General features: G+C 58.3%; 1 long non-coding RNA gene across 1 annotated transcript; it reads left to right on the forward strand.

Annotated features, from left to right (window-relative positions):
• The first annotated feature begins 3951 nt into the window (after positions 1–3951).
• LOC105371412 (uncharacterized) lies at positions 3952–8890 on the forward strand. Its single transcript, XR_933889.3, has 3 exons — positions 3952–4686; positions 5027–5109; positions 6273–8890. It is a non-coding gene; the product is annotated as an uncharacterized LOC105371412 (long non-coding RNA).
• The last annotated feature ends 5016 nt before the right edge of the window (positions 8891–13906 follow it).

The raw sequence follows: 13906 nt of genomic DNA on the forward strand, positions 1-13906 counted from the left end.
CGTCACCAGACAGGCCGGGGCTTCCCCGTCAGCTGGAAGCTCCTCCGGAATTGCCTCTCCAGACCTGCCTTTCAAGGAGCCCCTCTCACCCGGCTTCTGTGTCTGCGGGCAACTGTGGATTGCTGTCCCTGCCCACCTAAGCCCCTGTGTCGTTTTCTCTCGAGGTGCTTGTCACTCAGGTGAGCAGGAAATGTTTGTGGAATTCACCGTGAATCCGGGAGGGGAGGCGGTGGGGAGGCCATGGTGGGGTCAAACTCAGGAGCGGGTACAGCCCAGCCTGGCCCCAAGACCTGTGGCCCTTCTCCTCCCACTACATGCAGTGTGGACACAGACCTGCTGCCTCATCGCCACTTTCCAGAAACATTTGCAGAGCCATGTTATGTGGCTACCCGAGTTCTGGACAGACACACCAGGAGCAGAGGCTGGCCCTGTCCTGATGCGGGCTTGCTGTGTGGCCCTGGGCAAGCTGCTGGACCTTTCTGAGCCTCAGTGTCCCCTTCTGAGAGTGGAGGTAACACAGCCAGTGAGGACATGGAGAAAGAGTGGCCCGGGGAGGCTCATTCACTGAGAATTTTTTCTAGTTTTTTGCAGGGAGGTCACCCGGTGAGTGTTGTGGCTAAAACAAGATGTGGGGGAGGGATCCCCCCAGGGAGCATGCGTGGCTTGCAGGGAGAGGCAGAGCCGGGTCCAGATGTGGTCCCTGCAAGCCACACCTTCCCTGGGGGGGATCCCTGGGGGTCTGGCTGGGCCACACCTGTGACACCACAGCAGTGCCACACCCTGCAACCCCAGCTGCCCAGGATACCCTTCCTGGTGTGCGTCACGTCACGTCTGTGCACCAGCTCATGTGTCCTGTTCCCGGACTCTTGCTTGCAAAACGTATTGCCCAGAGCAGCTGGGCCCGGTGCCAGCAGCCCTGCCCCTAATCTGCCTGCCCGGGGGCTCCTGAGGGAGACACCCTCTCCCCAGGGCTGGAGGCTGGACTTCAGCAGGACCCACTGCAGCCCTTACCCCCTTTCCCCTGCTGTACTGTCAGGACCCCTTCCCACACAGGAACCACTGGCCCAGGCTCTAGCTAGTCATGACAGTTCCCCAGTGCCAGGCACTGCAGGAGGCTCTGAGAGGGGTCGGTGGCCTCTGTCTCAACTCAGCTCGCTCAGCGGCCCTGGGAAGCCAGGGGAGGTTCTGGAGCCAAGCTCCAGCCAGACCCATCCCATCAGCATTGCTGCAGCTCCCCAAGGGCTCTGCTGCGTGCTTGGAAGTGAAAATTGCTGATGGAGGGGGTGGGTCCGACGAGAAGAGAGGAAGGGACAGAGTCCAGCCACAGGTGGTTCTGGGCATTCTCCAAGCTCCTCCAGACCTCTCTGAGGCCTTGGCAGAATCCTGCATTACCCAAGCCTGTTTCTCCATCTGTAAAATAGGGATAGGAATACTTCCACCCCCCAGGTCCTTGAGAAGACCAAATGAGGTGATACTCTGCGCATGTTCTTGGTGCAAGGAAGTGACTACCCACATGCACTGTCGTATCAGGGACACAGGTTAGCCACGTTCATCCTCAGAGGTACCTGGGAGTGGAAGCATTGTTACCTCCACTCACAGAGGAGACCGAGGTACTGAAAGGTTTAGTAGCCCACCTGAAGCCATGCAGCTAGTAGAGAAGGAGCTGGAAATTCAACCTGGATGGTGATGATGGTGATGGTGGTGGTGATGATAGTGGTGATGATGATGGTGGTGATGGTGACGATGATGATGATGGTGATGATGACGATGATGATGGTGATGATGATGGTGGTGATGATGATGGTGGTGATGGTGATGATGATGGTGGTGATGGTGATGATGATGGTGATGATGATGATGGTGGTGATGATGGTGGTGATGATGGTGGTGATGATGGTGATGATGATGGTGGTGATGGTGATGATGATGGTGATGATGATGATGGTGGTGATGATGGTGATGATGATGGTGGTGATGATGATGGTGGTGATGATGGTGATGATGATGGTGGTGATGATGATGGTGGTGATGGTGGTGATGATGATGGTGGTGATGGTGATGATGATGGTGGTGATGGTGATGATGATGGTGGTGATGACGGTGATGATGATGGTGGAGATGGTAATGATGATGGTGATGATGATGATGGTGGTGATGGTGATGATGGTGGTGATGATGATGGTGGTGATGATGGTGACGATGATGATGATGGTGATGGTGATGATGATGATGGTGGTGATGGTGGTGATGATGATGGTGGTGATGATGGTGATGATGATGGTGGTGATGGTGATGATGGTGATGATGATGGTGGTGATGTTGATGGCAGTGATGATGATGATGATAGCAATGATTATAGTGGTGATGGTGATGATGGTGGTGGTGGTGATGATGGCAATGATGATGGTGATGATGGTGGTGGTGGTGATGATGGTGATGATGATGGTGGTGATGGTGATGATGATGATTGTGGTGGCATTGTTCTTGACAGTTTATACATATTAACTCATTTAATTCTCACAATAAGCCAATGACTGTGTCCATTTTGCGAGTGAGGACAGTGAAGCAGAGAGAAAGTAACTTGCTTAAGACCACACAGTCAGTAAGTGGCAGAGCAGGGACTCGGGGCTACACATTCCAGTTGGAGCCCATGTCCAGAGCCCACGTCCACAGCTGCTGCGCTGTCTTGCTCCATGAAGCCATGCTGCTTCACACAGTATCTCACGAAATTGGGGGAAGAGGCTGAGTTCAGAGCACAGGGTGCACCCCCACTGGAAGGAGTTGGAATTATGCAGGAGGTGCAGTGGACTGAATGTTTCTGTCCTCCCCAAATTCATATATTGAAATCCTTATCCCTAGAGTGATGGTATCAGGTGGGGCCTTTGGTGGGTGATTAAGTCATGAGGGTGGACCCTCGTGAATGAGACCGCTCCCCTCATGAAAGGGAGCCGAGAGAGCTACCAGCCCTCTTTTCGTCATGCGAGGACACAGCGAGAATCTGGCCATCTGCAGCTTGGAAACGGGCCCTCACCAGAACCTAACCATGCCAGCACCTTGATCTTGGACTCCAGCCTCCAGAACTGTGAGACAGAGAGGTCTGCTGTGTATAAGCCCTCAAGCCTGTGGTCCTTTCTTATAGCAGCCCGAGCTGTCTGAGGCAGGAGGCGAGATTTAAGCTGTACCTTGAAGGGCATCTATAAGTGGGCCAGGGTGGGAGGGTCTGCCTGGGAATGGAGCAAGGTCTCAGGGGGAGACTCAACAACTGGAATCTGGCTCTGGGGAGCCTGAACTCCAGCTGCACCAGTGGGGCCTGCCTGCAGCCCACATCTTCCAGCCACACATCCCACCCACCAGCTAGGCTCTCTCCCCATGCGGGCAGTTTGGGGGCGTCTTTGCCCGTACCCCTCCCTGTCTACCATGAGCTCGTCCCCCAGGCTGAGCAGAGCCACATGTGGCCCCTGATGGGCCAGAGTCTACAGGACTCAAGCAGGGACAGCCGGGCACCCTAGGGGTGCTGCTGGCTGGTGGGAGGGGGATCCCTCCAAGGTGTGCCAGGGTCCCTCGGTGCAGCAAGGGGCATGGCCCTTACCCCCACCCCCCTTGCCCCCCCCACCGCCGTCCTTGCCCTCCACCAGCACCCTCACCACCCCCGCTGCCGCCCTCACCCCGCACCACCACCCTTGCCCTCACCAGCGCCCTCACCACTGACTGCTGCCACCCTCAGCCCCGACTGTCGCCCTCACCCCTGACCACCGCCCTCACCACCCCCACCGCCCTCACCCCCACCGCCACCGCCCTCAACCCTCCACAGCTACTCTCACCCCTCTGCCGCCGCCCTCGCCCCCCCACCGCCGCCCTCACCCCCCCGCCGCCGCCCTCAACCCTCCGCCGCCGCCCTCACCCCCCCGCCGCCGTCCTCAACCCCCCAACGCCACCCTCGCCCCCGCCAGCACCCTTGCCTCGCCTGCTCCCTCTGCCTCAAAGCAGAACATTCTGGACTTGGGGTGAAAAGCCTGGATTTGAGCTATGCTGCCCACCACTCTGCCTGGGTTTGCTTTTCTGGATAACATCTGCCTGCCTGCTGTGGCTCCACTGGTTGCCCCCCTGGCGCCACATCTCTTCTCCTCTGCTGCTGGAGTCCAGGTCTGCCCTCCTGGGGCACCCGCCCAGCTCACAGGCAAACCTACCCGGTCTCGGGGGCTGTGACTGAGGGGTGTGGCAGAGGCTTCGGGTGTTCACTGGGAGCTTCCGCAGGGGAACCGGCCTGGTAGGAACGGCCGCTTTGGGGAAGGCAGAACCATCGGGAACCAGCCTCAGGGTGCAGGCTTCCAGGACAGTGCTCACTCTGGGCAGAGCCACCACCACATTGCTTACTCGTCCCCACAGATGGAACAGGAGCGAGGTCGCCTGTATCCTCCGGGAAATGCTCCTGGAGGTCAGGGCAGCCGGGTGAGCACTGGGTCCGGCTGCTCTCCCCAGCTTCTCTTCTCCAGTCAGCCAACCCAGCCTCCGCGAGAGACAGAGGAAAGACAGACACGGCGTTGGCTGCGCGGGGGCCTGCATCCCTCCCGACCTTCTCATTTGATCCTCCTGCCCTATGCGGTTGGTGCCAACGTTCATCCCATTTTACAGATGAGTAAACTCAGCTTCAGTGAGGCCGGGGCCTTCCTGGAGATCACAGAGCAAGTGAGCCCAGGCCTCAACACCCCTCTCCCCTCCGCACCTCTGCCGCCCCCTCCCGGTTCCTTTCCCGACTCTGGACCCCACGGGTGTCCTGGGCTCTGCTGCGGTGTTCCTGGCTCCGCTCTCTTCCTACCTCCTGGGCCGGCAGGGGAAAGTGCTCCCAGCTGGGGCCACCACACCCTGACCTGCCCATTCCACTTTCCTCAGCTGTAAAGCAGGGAAGTCAGGGCCCCTCTTTATGGGCTTGTGGAGTTGAATGGGGTCATGTTGTGTAAATCCCTAAGCCCAGTGCTGTCTCGGAAAAGACCTCAGTTCCGGGTTTATTGTTCTCTCTCCCACTCAGGCACCATCAGTCTCAACTGTCGCTGGCCGGAGCTGGCTCTACGCGTTTCTTTCCTCGTACTCTGTGGTCTACAAGGACAGGAGGTGCTGGGGGCTGGCTGGCTCCTCGGGGACAGTGGGGAGCCGTGTAGGAAGGGACACCGAGGCACCAAGGGCCCAGCAGGACCTGGGGAGGGGGTACAAGGATGGCTGTGCTGCAGCAGACTGGCTGCCTCCACGCCCACTCTGGAATGGCCGGGGCCAGACTGCGCAGCTGTCGTTTTGATTGAATCCAGATGCCCCTGGTACTCGAGACAAATGTGCTCTGGGGAGCGTTTAAATAAAAACACAAGGATCAGAGGTGTTCCCAGGGGCCAGTTTCATGGGGAGCCAGGGAGAGGGAGGAGTGGGCCCTGTCCCTACACCGATAGCAGGTGGCCCAGTCCGTGACCGGACACAGCTCCCCTCCACCCACCAACCTCCTGGCCACCTGCTGGGGCCCCCCCGAGTCTGCAAATCTCCCTGAATCTGTTTCCCCACCATGTCACCGGGCACCCAGGAGAGCTGCACCTGCAAGTGACTGGGTGCTTGGCCCAGGGGTGGGTGCTGGTGGGTGAGAGTGGTCCCTATCACTATCACAGATGATAAGTGACGTCTGTCACACCGGGAGCCTGGGCCGGGCAACCTGGCACCCATTTCCTCTCTTGGAAGTGGAGGCCCTGAGGCTTCTGAGCGCGCAGGGCTGCTGGGAGGACGAGTAAGAAAAGCGGGTGAAGCACAGAGCCCAAGGCTCCGTGTGGCCCCCCCAGTCAGCTGAAGTCGTGACCCTCACCGCAGCCTCCGCCCCGCGCCAAGCCTGACTGTGGTGGCTTCCGATGGGTGTCCTCCTGGGCTTCCCAAAGCAGGAGGTGAGGTGCAGGACAACGCTGGCGCAGGCTGGCTCAGAGGCACAGCAGAGCCGGGTCCTGCACGGCCAGGCGCATCGGGAGTGGCCTTCCCTGGCTGTCAAGGTGTCAGGCAGCTGCCTTTGTGCAGGGCACTTACCTGGAGTGCGGTGGCCCCGAGGAATCTCGTTTTTTTTTTTTTTTTTTTTTGTTTTTTATACAGAGTCTCACTCTGTCACCCCGGCTTCAGTGCAGTGGAAGGATCTCAGCTCACTGCAGCCTCTGCCTCCTGGGCTTAAGCAATCCTCCCACCTTAGCCTTCTGAGTAGCTGGGACTGCAGGTGGGCACCACCACGCCCAGCTAATTTTTAAATTTTTTTATAGGGACGGGGTCTCGACCTGGACCAACCCAGGCTGGTCTCAAACTCCTGGGCTCAAGCAATCCACTTGCCTAAGCCTCCCGAAGTGCTGGGATAACAGACGTGAGCCGCCACACCCGGCCTTCACATGGTTTGAGCCGCCGCACCCGGCCTCTCACATGGTTCTTCTCACGGGCGCTCCCCACATGTGCGGACCCCTCCTTCGTGGCCTCCAGCTTCTATTTAGAGAGGGTGTGACACGCTGAGATCTTTCACACGGGTGGTGACGGGACTGAATCGAGTTGCAGGACGCCAGCGGGTATGAGAGCTGCTGCTGTGGAGAACGGCAGCACCATTTCCACACCCACGTGTGGCACTTGGTCACGGCCCATGCGGGAAACAACTACACCCACCTATTTCCCTCCCAGAAAACCTACGTTTTTCTTCCCAAGACAGACACTGTGTGCTCACAACACCCTGTTGCTGCCTTTCCTGAGTAGTATGTGTGCAGGAGTCCTCACAGCAGCCGTGTCGCAGGGAGCAGGCGCCACGGCCTTGGAAGCCAGCACAGTCAGCGAAATTCCGTAGGGAGCTGGGACTGACACGGCCCAGTCATGTCATGGATGAGCCATGTCATGAACGACTCATGCATGCACCAGTCACGTGAGGACCTGTCACGTGTGGACCTGTCATACATGCACCAGTTGAGTGTGGACCTGTCATGTGTGAACTTGTCACGTGAAGACCTGTCACATGTGAACCTGTCACGAGGACCTGTCACGTGTGGACCTGTCACGTGTGGACCTGTCACGTGAGGACCTGTCACGTGTGGACCTGTCACGTGAGGATCTGTCGTGTGGTCCTGTCGTCTGTGGGCCTGTCACGTGAGGACCTGTCATGTGTGGACTGTCACGTGTGGACCTGTCACGTGTGGACTGTCACGTGTGGACCTCTCATACATGCACCAGTCACGTGTAGACCTGTCACGTGTGAACCTGTCGTGTGGTCCTGTCGTCTGTGGGCCTGTCACGTGTGGATCTGTCACGTGTGGACCTGTCATACATGCACCAGTCACGTGTGGACCTGTCGTGTGGTCCTGTCATCTGTGGGCCTGTCACGTGTGGACCTGTCACGTGAGGACCTGTCACGTGTGGATCTGTCACGTATGGACTCTCACGTGTGGACCTGTCATACATGCACCAGTCACGTGTGGACCTGTCACGTGTGAACCTGTCGTGTGGTCCTGTCGTCTGTGGGCCTGTCACGTGTGGATCTGTCACGTGTGGACTGTCACGTGTGGACCTGTCATACATGCACCAGTCACGTGTGGACCTGTCGTGTGGTCCTGTCGTCTGTGGGCCTGTCACGTGTGGACCTGTCACGTGAGGACCTGTCATGTGTGGACCAGTCATGTGAGGACCTGTCACGTGTGGACTGTCACGTGTGGACCTGTCATACATGCACCAGTCACGTGTAGACCTGTCACGTGTGAACCTGTCGTGTGGTCCTGTCGTCTGTGGGCCTGTCACGTGTGGATCTGTCACGTGTGGACTGTCACGTGTGGACCTGTCATACATGCACCAGTCACGTGTGGACCTGTCGTGTGGTCCTGTCATCTGTAGGCCTGTCACATGTGGACCTGTCACGTGTGGACTGTCACGTGTGGACCTGTCATGCATGCACCAGTCACGTGTGGACCTGTCACGTGTGAACCTGTTGTGTGGTCCTGTCGTCTGTGGGCCTGTCACGTGTGGACGTGTCACGTGTGGACCCGGCTGAAGGCAGGATGCCTCAGCCAATCCTATGCCTGGGCAGGGCGGGGGATGCCTCTGCATTTTCTGAGCCCCATGGCCCTGCAGTGCTGCTGGGTGGCTGTCACAGACCCAGGCCAGCCCCTCCTCCCAGGCAGGCAGCTGGAGCTGCAGGGGAGGGTGTCACGGCCAGCCCAAGAGGCCTCATCCCTGCTACCGGGTACCTGCCGTAGCTATGTCCAGCCCAGGTCACTGAGTGTGTAAACACACCTCACGTCCGCGTCGAGAAGGCGTCACCAGTGCCTGCTGAACAAAGAAGGTCTGGCCCAGTGTGGCTGCAGCCAGGAGGCCAAGGAGACCAGTGAGAGCACCGCCCTCGCCACTGACGCTCTTGCTGGGCTCATTGTTGTGCTGGGCCCAGTGGAGCAAAAGACAGGCCTCCAGCCGGGGCACCTCCCAACAACTCTGCACCCTTGATTGAAATGCAATGTCTGCGGCTGACGGCCACGTGACTGCAACCCACCCTCCCGGCTGCCGATTAATTTTACCTTTTGTGCTGCCAGCTGCAGTGGGTTCATGGTGAGAGCTGAGTTGATGCATGCGAGTGCGAGGGTGTGTTAATGTGTGCACATGTGTGACTGTGTGAGGGTGTATATGTGTGTGTACATACATTGTGTGCATGCGTGTGAGTGTGTACACTGTGAGCACATCTGTGAATGTATGCGGGTGTGTCCCTATGAGCACGTGTGTGTGCACGTGTGACCGTGTGAGGGTGTATATGTGTGTGTGCATACATTGTGTATGTGAATGCATGTGAGTGTGTACACTGAGCACGTCTGTGAATGTATGTGGGTGTGTCCATATGAGCACGTGTGTGTGCACCTGTGACCGTGTGAGGGTGTATATGTGTGTGTGCATACATTGTGTATGTGCACGCATGTGAGTGTGTACACTGTGAGCACGTCTGTGAATGTATGTGGGTGTGTCCATATGAGCACGTGTGTGTGCACATGTGTGACTGTGTGAGGGTGTATATGTGTGTGCATACATTGTGTGCGTGCATGTGAGTGTGTATACTGTGAGCACGTCTGTGAATGTATGCGGGTGTGTCCATATGAGCACGTGTGTGCACGTGTGACCGTGTGAGGGTGTATACATGTGTGTGCATACATTGTGTATGTGCAGGCATGCGAGTGTGTACACTGAGCACGTCTGTGAATGTATGTGGGTGTGTCCATATGAGCACGTGTGTGTGCACATGTGTACATGTGACATGTGTCACTGTGAGCGGATGCATGAGTGCATGTGAGTGTCTGCATGTGTTAGTGTGTGTGGCTTTGTCCATTGTGAGCATGTGTACTCGTGTACATAGGTGTGTGAACACAGGCATACAAGCGTACGTGGTGTGCGTTCACTGTGCATGTGAATGTGTGTGTGTGTGTGGGCAGGTGGCTGTGCACGCACATGTCTGTCCACTGTCTGTGTGTGCTCATGCATATCTGCGTGTGGGCATGTGGTTGGTGTCATATGTGGCTGTGTGAGTGTGTGCACATGTGGAATATGGGTGTCTGGCTGTATCCGTGTGTGAGTGCACACGTCTGTGTGTGAGCATTTGATTGTGTGAGCACGTGCACACTCATACAAGCACAGATGTGAACCATTGCCCTGGGGCCTGCTTGTGCTACCTGTGAGCAGAGGAGACATCCTGAGGAGGCTCCACTCCCAGCCCAGCCCGTGGAGGGACACCCATGGCCTCAGGTCTCCAGGCTCCCGACGAGCTGTTAGCCAACTCAGTCCCCAAAGCAAAGCTCCAAGTTGGCAGTTGAGGATTGGAGCCCAGAGTGACTTGTCAGGGGTTTGGGGACCCAGGGAGGAAGGCCTAGGAAACCCGGGCGGGCCCACAGGGAGGCTGGCCTCCTGTCGGCCAAGGAACAGAAGAAGCAGAGGATGGAGCCCACAGGGGCTCCCACCTACTATTCCCAAGTCACTTGTCACCAATAATAACGTCCATGCTTGCAAATAAACTACGTTTAAAAGTAACAAAATTCAACATTGCCCTTGTGTGGCATCACTCGGCTTCCCTGGGGTTCTCCAGGAGGATAGAGGCCCCAGGACTCAGTGACGCTGAGATGGGCGCCCCCGGCGTGTCTGCACCCCCTGCAGGACGTCCTGGAGCCTCCGTCAGCCACACTCATGGAGTCGGGCCCCGGACCCGGGGCAAGGCAGCCAGAAATGACTCTGTAGGTGGCCCCCATGCAGCCAGCCCAGCTCCTGCCTCAAGGACACTTCGCAGGGCTGGGTCCAGGAGGTTGCTGGGCTCCAGTCCCAGGTCCCACCTTCATCACTGTGACCGCGGCACCTCTCGGACCCTCATTGGAAATTGAAAGAGGGCGCAGCCATTGGCAAGACCGCTGTGGGGGTGGGAGCTCTATAAGCCGCCCCTGGCGAACTCCATTGTCGGGGGGCCTCTATAAGCCGCCCCTGGCGAACTCCATTGTCGGGGGGCCTCTACGAGCCGCCCCTGGCGAACTCCATTGTCGGGGGGCCTCTACGAGCCGCCCCTGGCGAACTCCATTGTCGGGGGGCCTCTACCAGCCGCCCCTGGCGAACTCCATTGTCGGGGGGCCTCTACGAGCCGCCCCTGGCGAACTCCATTGTCGGGGGGCCTCTACGAGCCGCCCCTGGCGAACTCCATTGTCGGGGGGCCTCTACCAGCCGCCCCTGGCGAACTCCATTGTCGGGGGGCCTCTACCAGCCGCCCCTGGCGAACTCCATTGTCGGGGGGCCTCTACCAGCCGCCCCTGGCGAACTCCATTGTCGGGGGGCCTCTACCAGCCGCCCCTGGCGAACTCCATTGTCGGGGGGCCTCTACCAGCCGCCCCTGGCGAACTCCATTGTCGGGGGGCCTCTACGAGCCGCCCCTGGCGAACTCCATTACTGGGGGGCCTCTACGAGCCGCCCCGGTGAACTCCATTGTCGGGGGGCCTCTATAAGCCGCCCCGGTGAACTCCATTGTCGGAGGGCCTCTATAAGCCACCCCTGGCAAACTCCAGGGCTCACCTCAGGTCGGATCGAGCCCCCTCTGGGGTTTCACTGAAATCTCCAGCATTTTCAGAGACACCAGGAGCCCTGGATGAAAGGAAGACTGGCACCCTTGGTGGGAAGGACCCTCCCCCGATTTTGGAACAGAGGAGGCAGAGCTCCTCCTGAAGGCTGGCACCTGCCCCGGGGCTCTCCTGGTTACCCCGCAGCAGGATGAGCCCAGAGGGTGAGCGATGAGGCCAAGGTTGTCAGGAAGGGAGGGGCAGCTTGGTCAACGCTGCCAGGAAGCTCCGACAGTATCTCCAAGGACATGAAGGTCTGAAAAAGAAACAGGAAAATACAGACATCCCCGCTTAAGCAGGGTTTGTTTTTCTTTTTGTTTTTTTGAGACAGAGTCTTGCTCTGTTGTCCAGGCTGGAGTGCAATAGTGCAATCTCGGCCTCCCGGGTTCAAGTGATTTTCCTGCCTCAGCCTCCCGAGTAGCTGGGATCACAGGCATGCACCACCACGCCCGGCTAATTTTTTTTTTACTTTTAGTAGAGACAGGGTTTCTCCACGTTGGCCAGGCGGGTTTCAAACTCCTGACCTCAGGTGATCTGCCTGCCTCAGCCTCCCACAGTGCTGGGATGACAGGCGTGAGCCGGTGTGCCGGGCCCAGGGTTTCCCTTTTTCTGCAGTTTCAGTTATCCATGGTCAACAGAGCTCCAAAAATATTAAATGGAAAATTCTAAAACTAAACAATTCATAAGTTTTAAATTATGCACGGCTTGATGAACTCTGACACCTCCCGCCCTGTCCGCCCGGGAGGGGATCCTCCATTTGTCCAGCGAGTCCACGCTGTGGACGCTCCGCACCGGTGAGTCCTCCAGGAGCTGCCTCTGCTGTCAGATCAAAAACACATCGGATATGTGGGGTTCAGGCATCCCTGGGGGTCTGGGAATGTGACCCCCTTGTATACAAGATGGCTGTATGGTTTTTCTCCTCCTTAGTGTCATTTTTATGTTAAGTGTATTTTTTATGTTATTTATTTTTAAAAAGCCACCCGGTTTTATTTCCAGGGCTTCATGTCACTCCACCAAATGGATTCTGTCCCCCTCAGTGGCTCAGTCCCGTCGTCTGGGTTCCCAGCCCCAGGAACCTAGGGCCTGTGGAAAGCCAGCCTCCCCTGGAGGTGGCTCCTCCTGGACCCGTGGCCGGGGCACCCCGAGGACATTCTGTGGTGAGATGGTTTCAAGGCCTGCCTACTTGCGGGCCCACCCTCACCCCCCATTTTCTCCCCGTTTTCATCTTCGTCCTCACCTCATGTACCCTCTGTTTTTGGTGAGGCAGTGTGGATGGATGAATCCACCTTGCTCCCGAAACACCCCCAAATCTGTCCCGCCCGGGCCCTGGACTCTGGCTCCTAAAATGCCACCACTACACCCAGACATGCCACATGCTCCCCGGCACCCCTCCTCCGCCCTCCTGCAGAGCCAGGCGATGCCCGCACCAGAGATCTGTGCCAGCCGCAGGACATCTGGGAGGAGGTGCATAAACCCAACAGGGCCAAGCACAGAGGGGCGCACGTGTGACTTCCTTGGGCTGGCGGGCCCGTCTGCTGGAATACAGCGCGACTTTGCGGGAACTCCATTAGGCGGGTGCTTCTGTGTTTTCTGCTGTTCGAGGCCAGGCCTTCCCTGGCTCACGTGGGGCCTCACCATGTCCCAGGGTTCTCTCCCTTGGGAGCTGTTGCAGCTCGGACACAGGCCTCCAGCCTCTGGGTTTCTCAGAAACTCTGGGTCCCTCCCACTGGTGGCACCAGCTGGCTCACTCTCTGGGGTCTAAATGGAGGCTTGGAGACCCTGGGAACAATGCAGCCAACAGGACCTCGGCCCACACACCCAGACAATGCTGTGTCTGCCCTGATTTGGCACAAGCCATGGGGAGAGGCCACTGCTCTGATTGTGCAGGTGGTGCCTCAGGCCTGGCGCTGAGTGATGAGAGGACCTTGTGGGGCTCGGGACTGCTGGAGAAAGCAGAGGGAGGAAGGAGGGCCTGAGGAGGAGGAGTGTGGTGGGAAGAGGGAGGATCTGGAAAGGTTTCTAGGCTCCAGGAAAAGCGTCCCCACCATAGGTCCCAGAAGGCGGCAGCCAGGCCTCCCCTCGCAGCTGCTGTGCAGAGCTGGCATCTGTGCCCGCCGCTCCACATGTAGAAGCCAGACCCTGGGAGCCGGGTCTGTGCCAAGCCAGTGCCAGCTGCCGGGACACATGTGTCTGGCACTTGGACAACTCCGCCCAGCGAGGCCTGTGCGTCTCTTTCCTTGTGGGGAGAGCGTGTCATGTCCAGGCCTGGGGTCACCACATGCCCATGCCTGGCATTCTTTCCATCTGGGCTCACCCCCATCGTGCCCATGATCTGGGCCCGCCCCCATCGTGCCCATGTCCAGCGCGTGGCTGCCATTGTGCCTGTGTCCAGCACATGGCCCCATCGTGCCGATGTCCAGCACATGGCCCTCATCGTGCCCATGATCTGGGCCCGCCCCCCTCGTGCCCGTGTCCAGCGCGTGGCCCCCATCGTGCCCGTGTCCAGTGTGTGGCCCCAACAGTCAGCGTTGTTGACGTCACCTTCTGGGAGGGAGGTCGGCCTCGGGGCCAATGGCCCGGAGCTTGTGTGTATGGCTCTGTGTGCGTGTGCAATGCACTCAGCATCTAAGCTACGGTCAGGCCCTCTGGAGGCTCCTGCAAACTTTGAGGGCCTGCCCAGAACTCTCTCCAAGCCCAGGTGGGGCAAACGCTTCCAGGTCAAATGCCAAAATTCCTGTCCCCATGACATGGGCCTTAGGCAGTAAAGGAAGACGCAGGGGTGGAAGAGAGTGCAAAGACGCACA

The sequence above is a fragment of the Homo sapiens genome, chromosome 16, assembly GCF_000001405.40.
Source record: "Homo sapiens chromosome 16, GRCh38.p14 Primary Assembly".
Taxonomy (NCBI): Eukaryota; Metazoa; Chordata; class Mammalia; order Primates; family Hominidae; genus Homo; species Homo sapiens.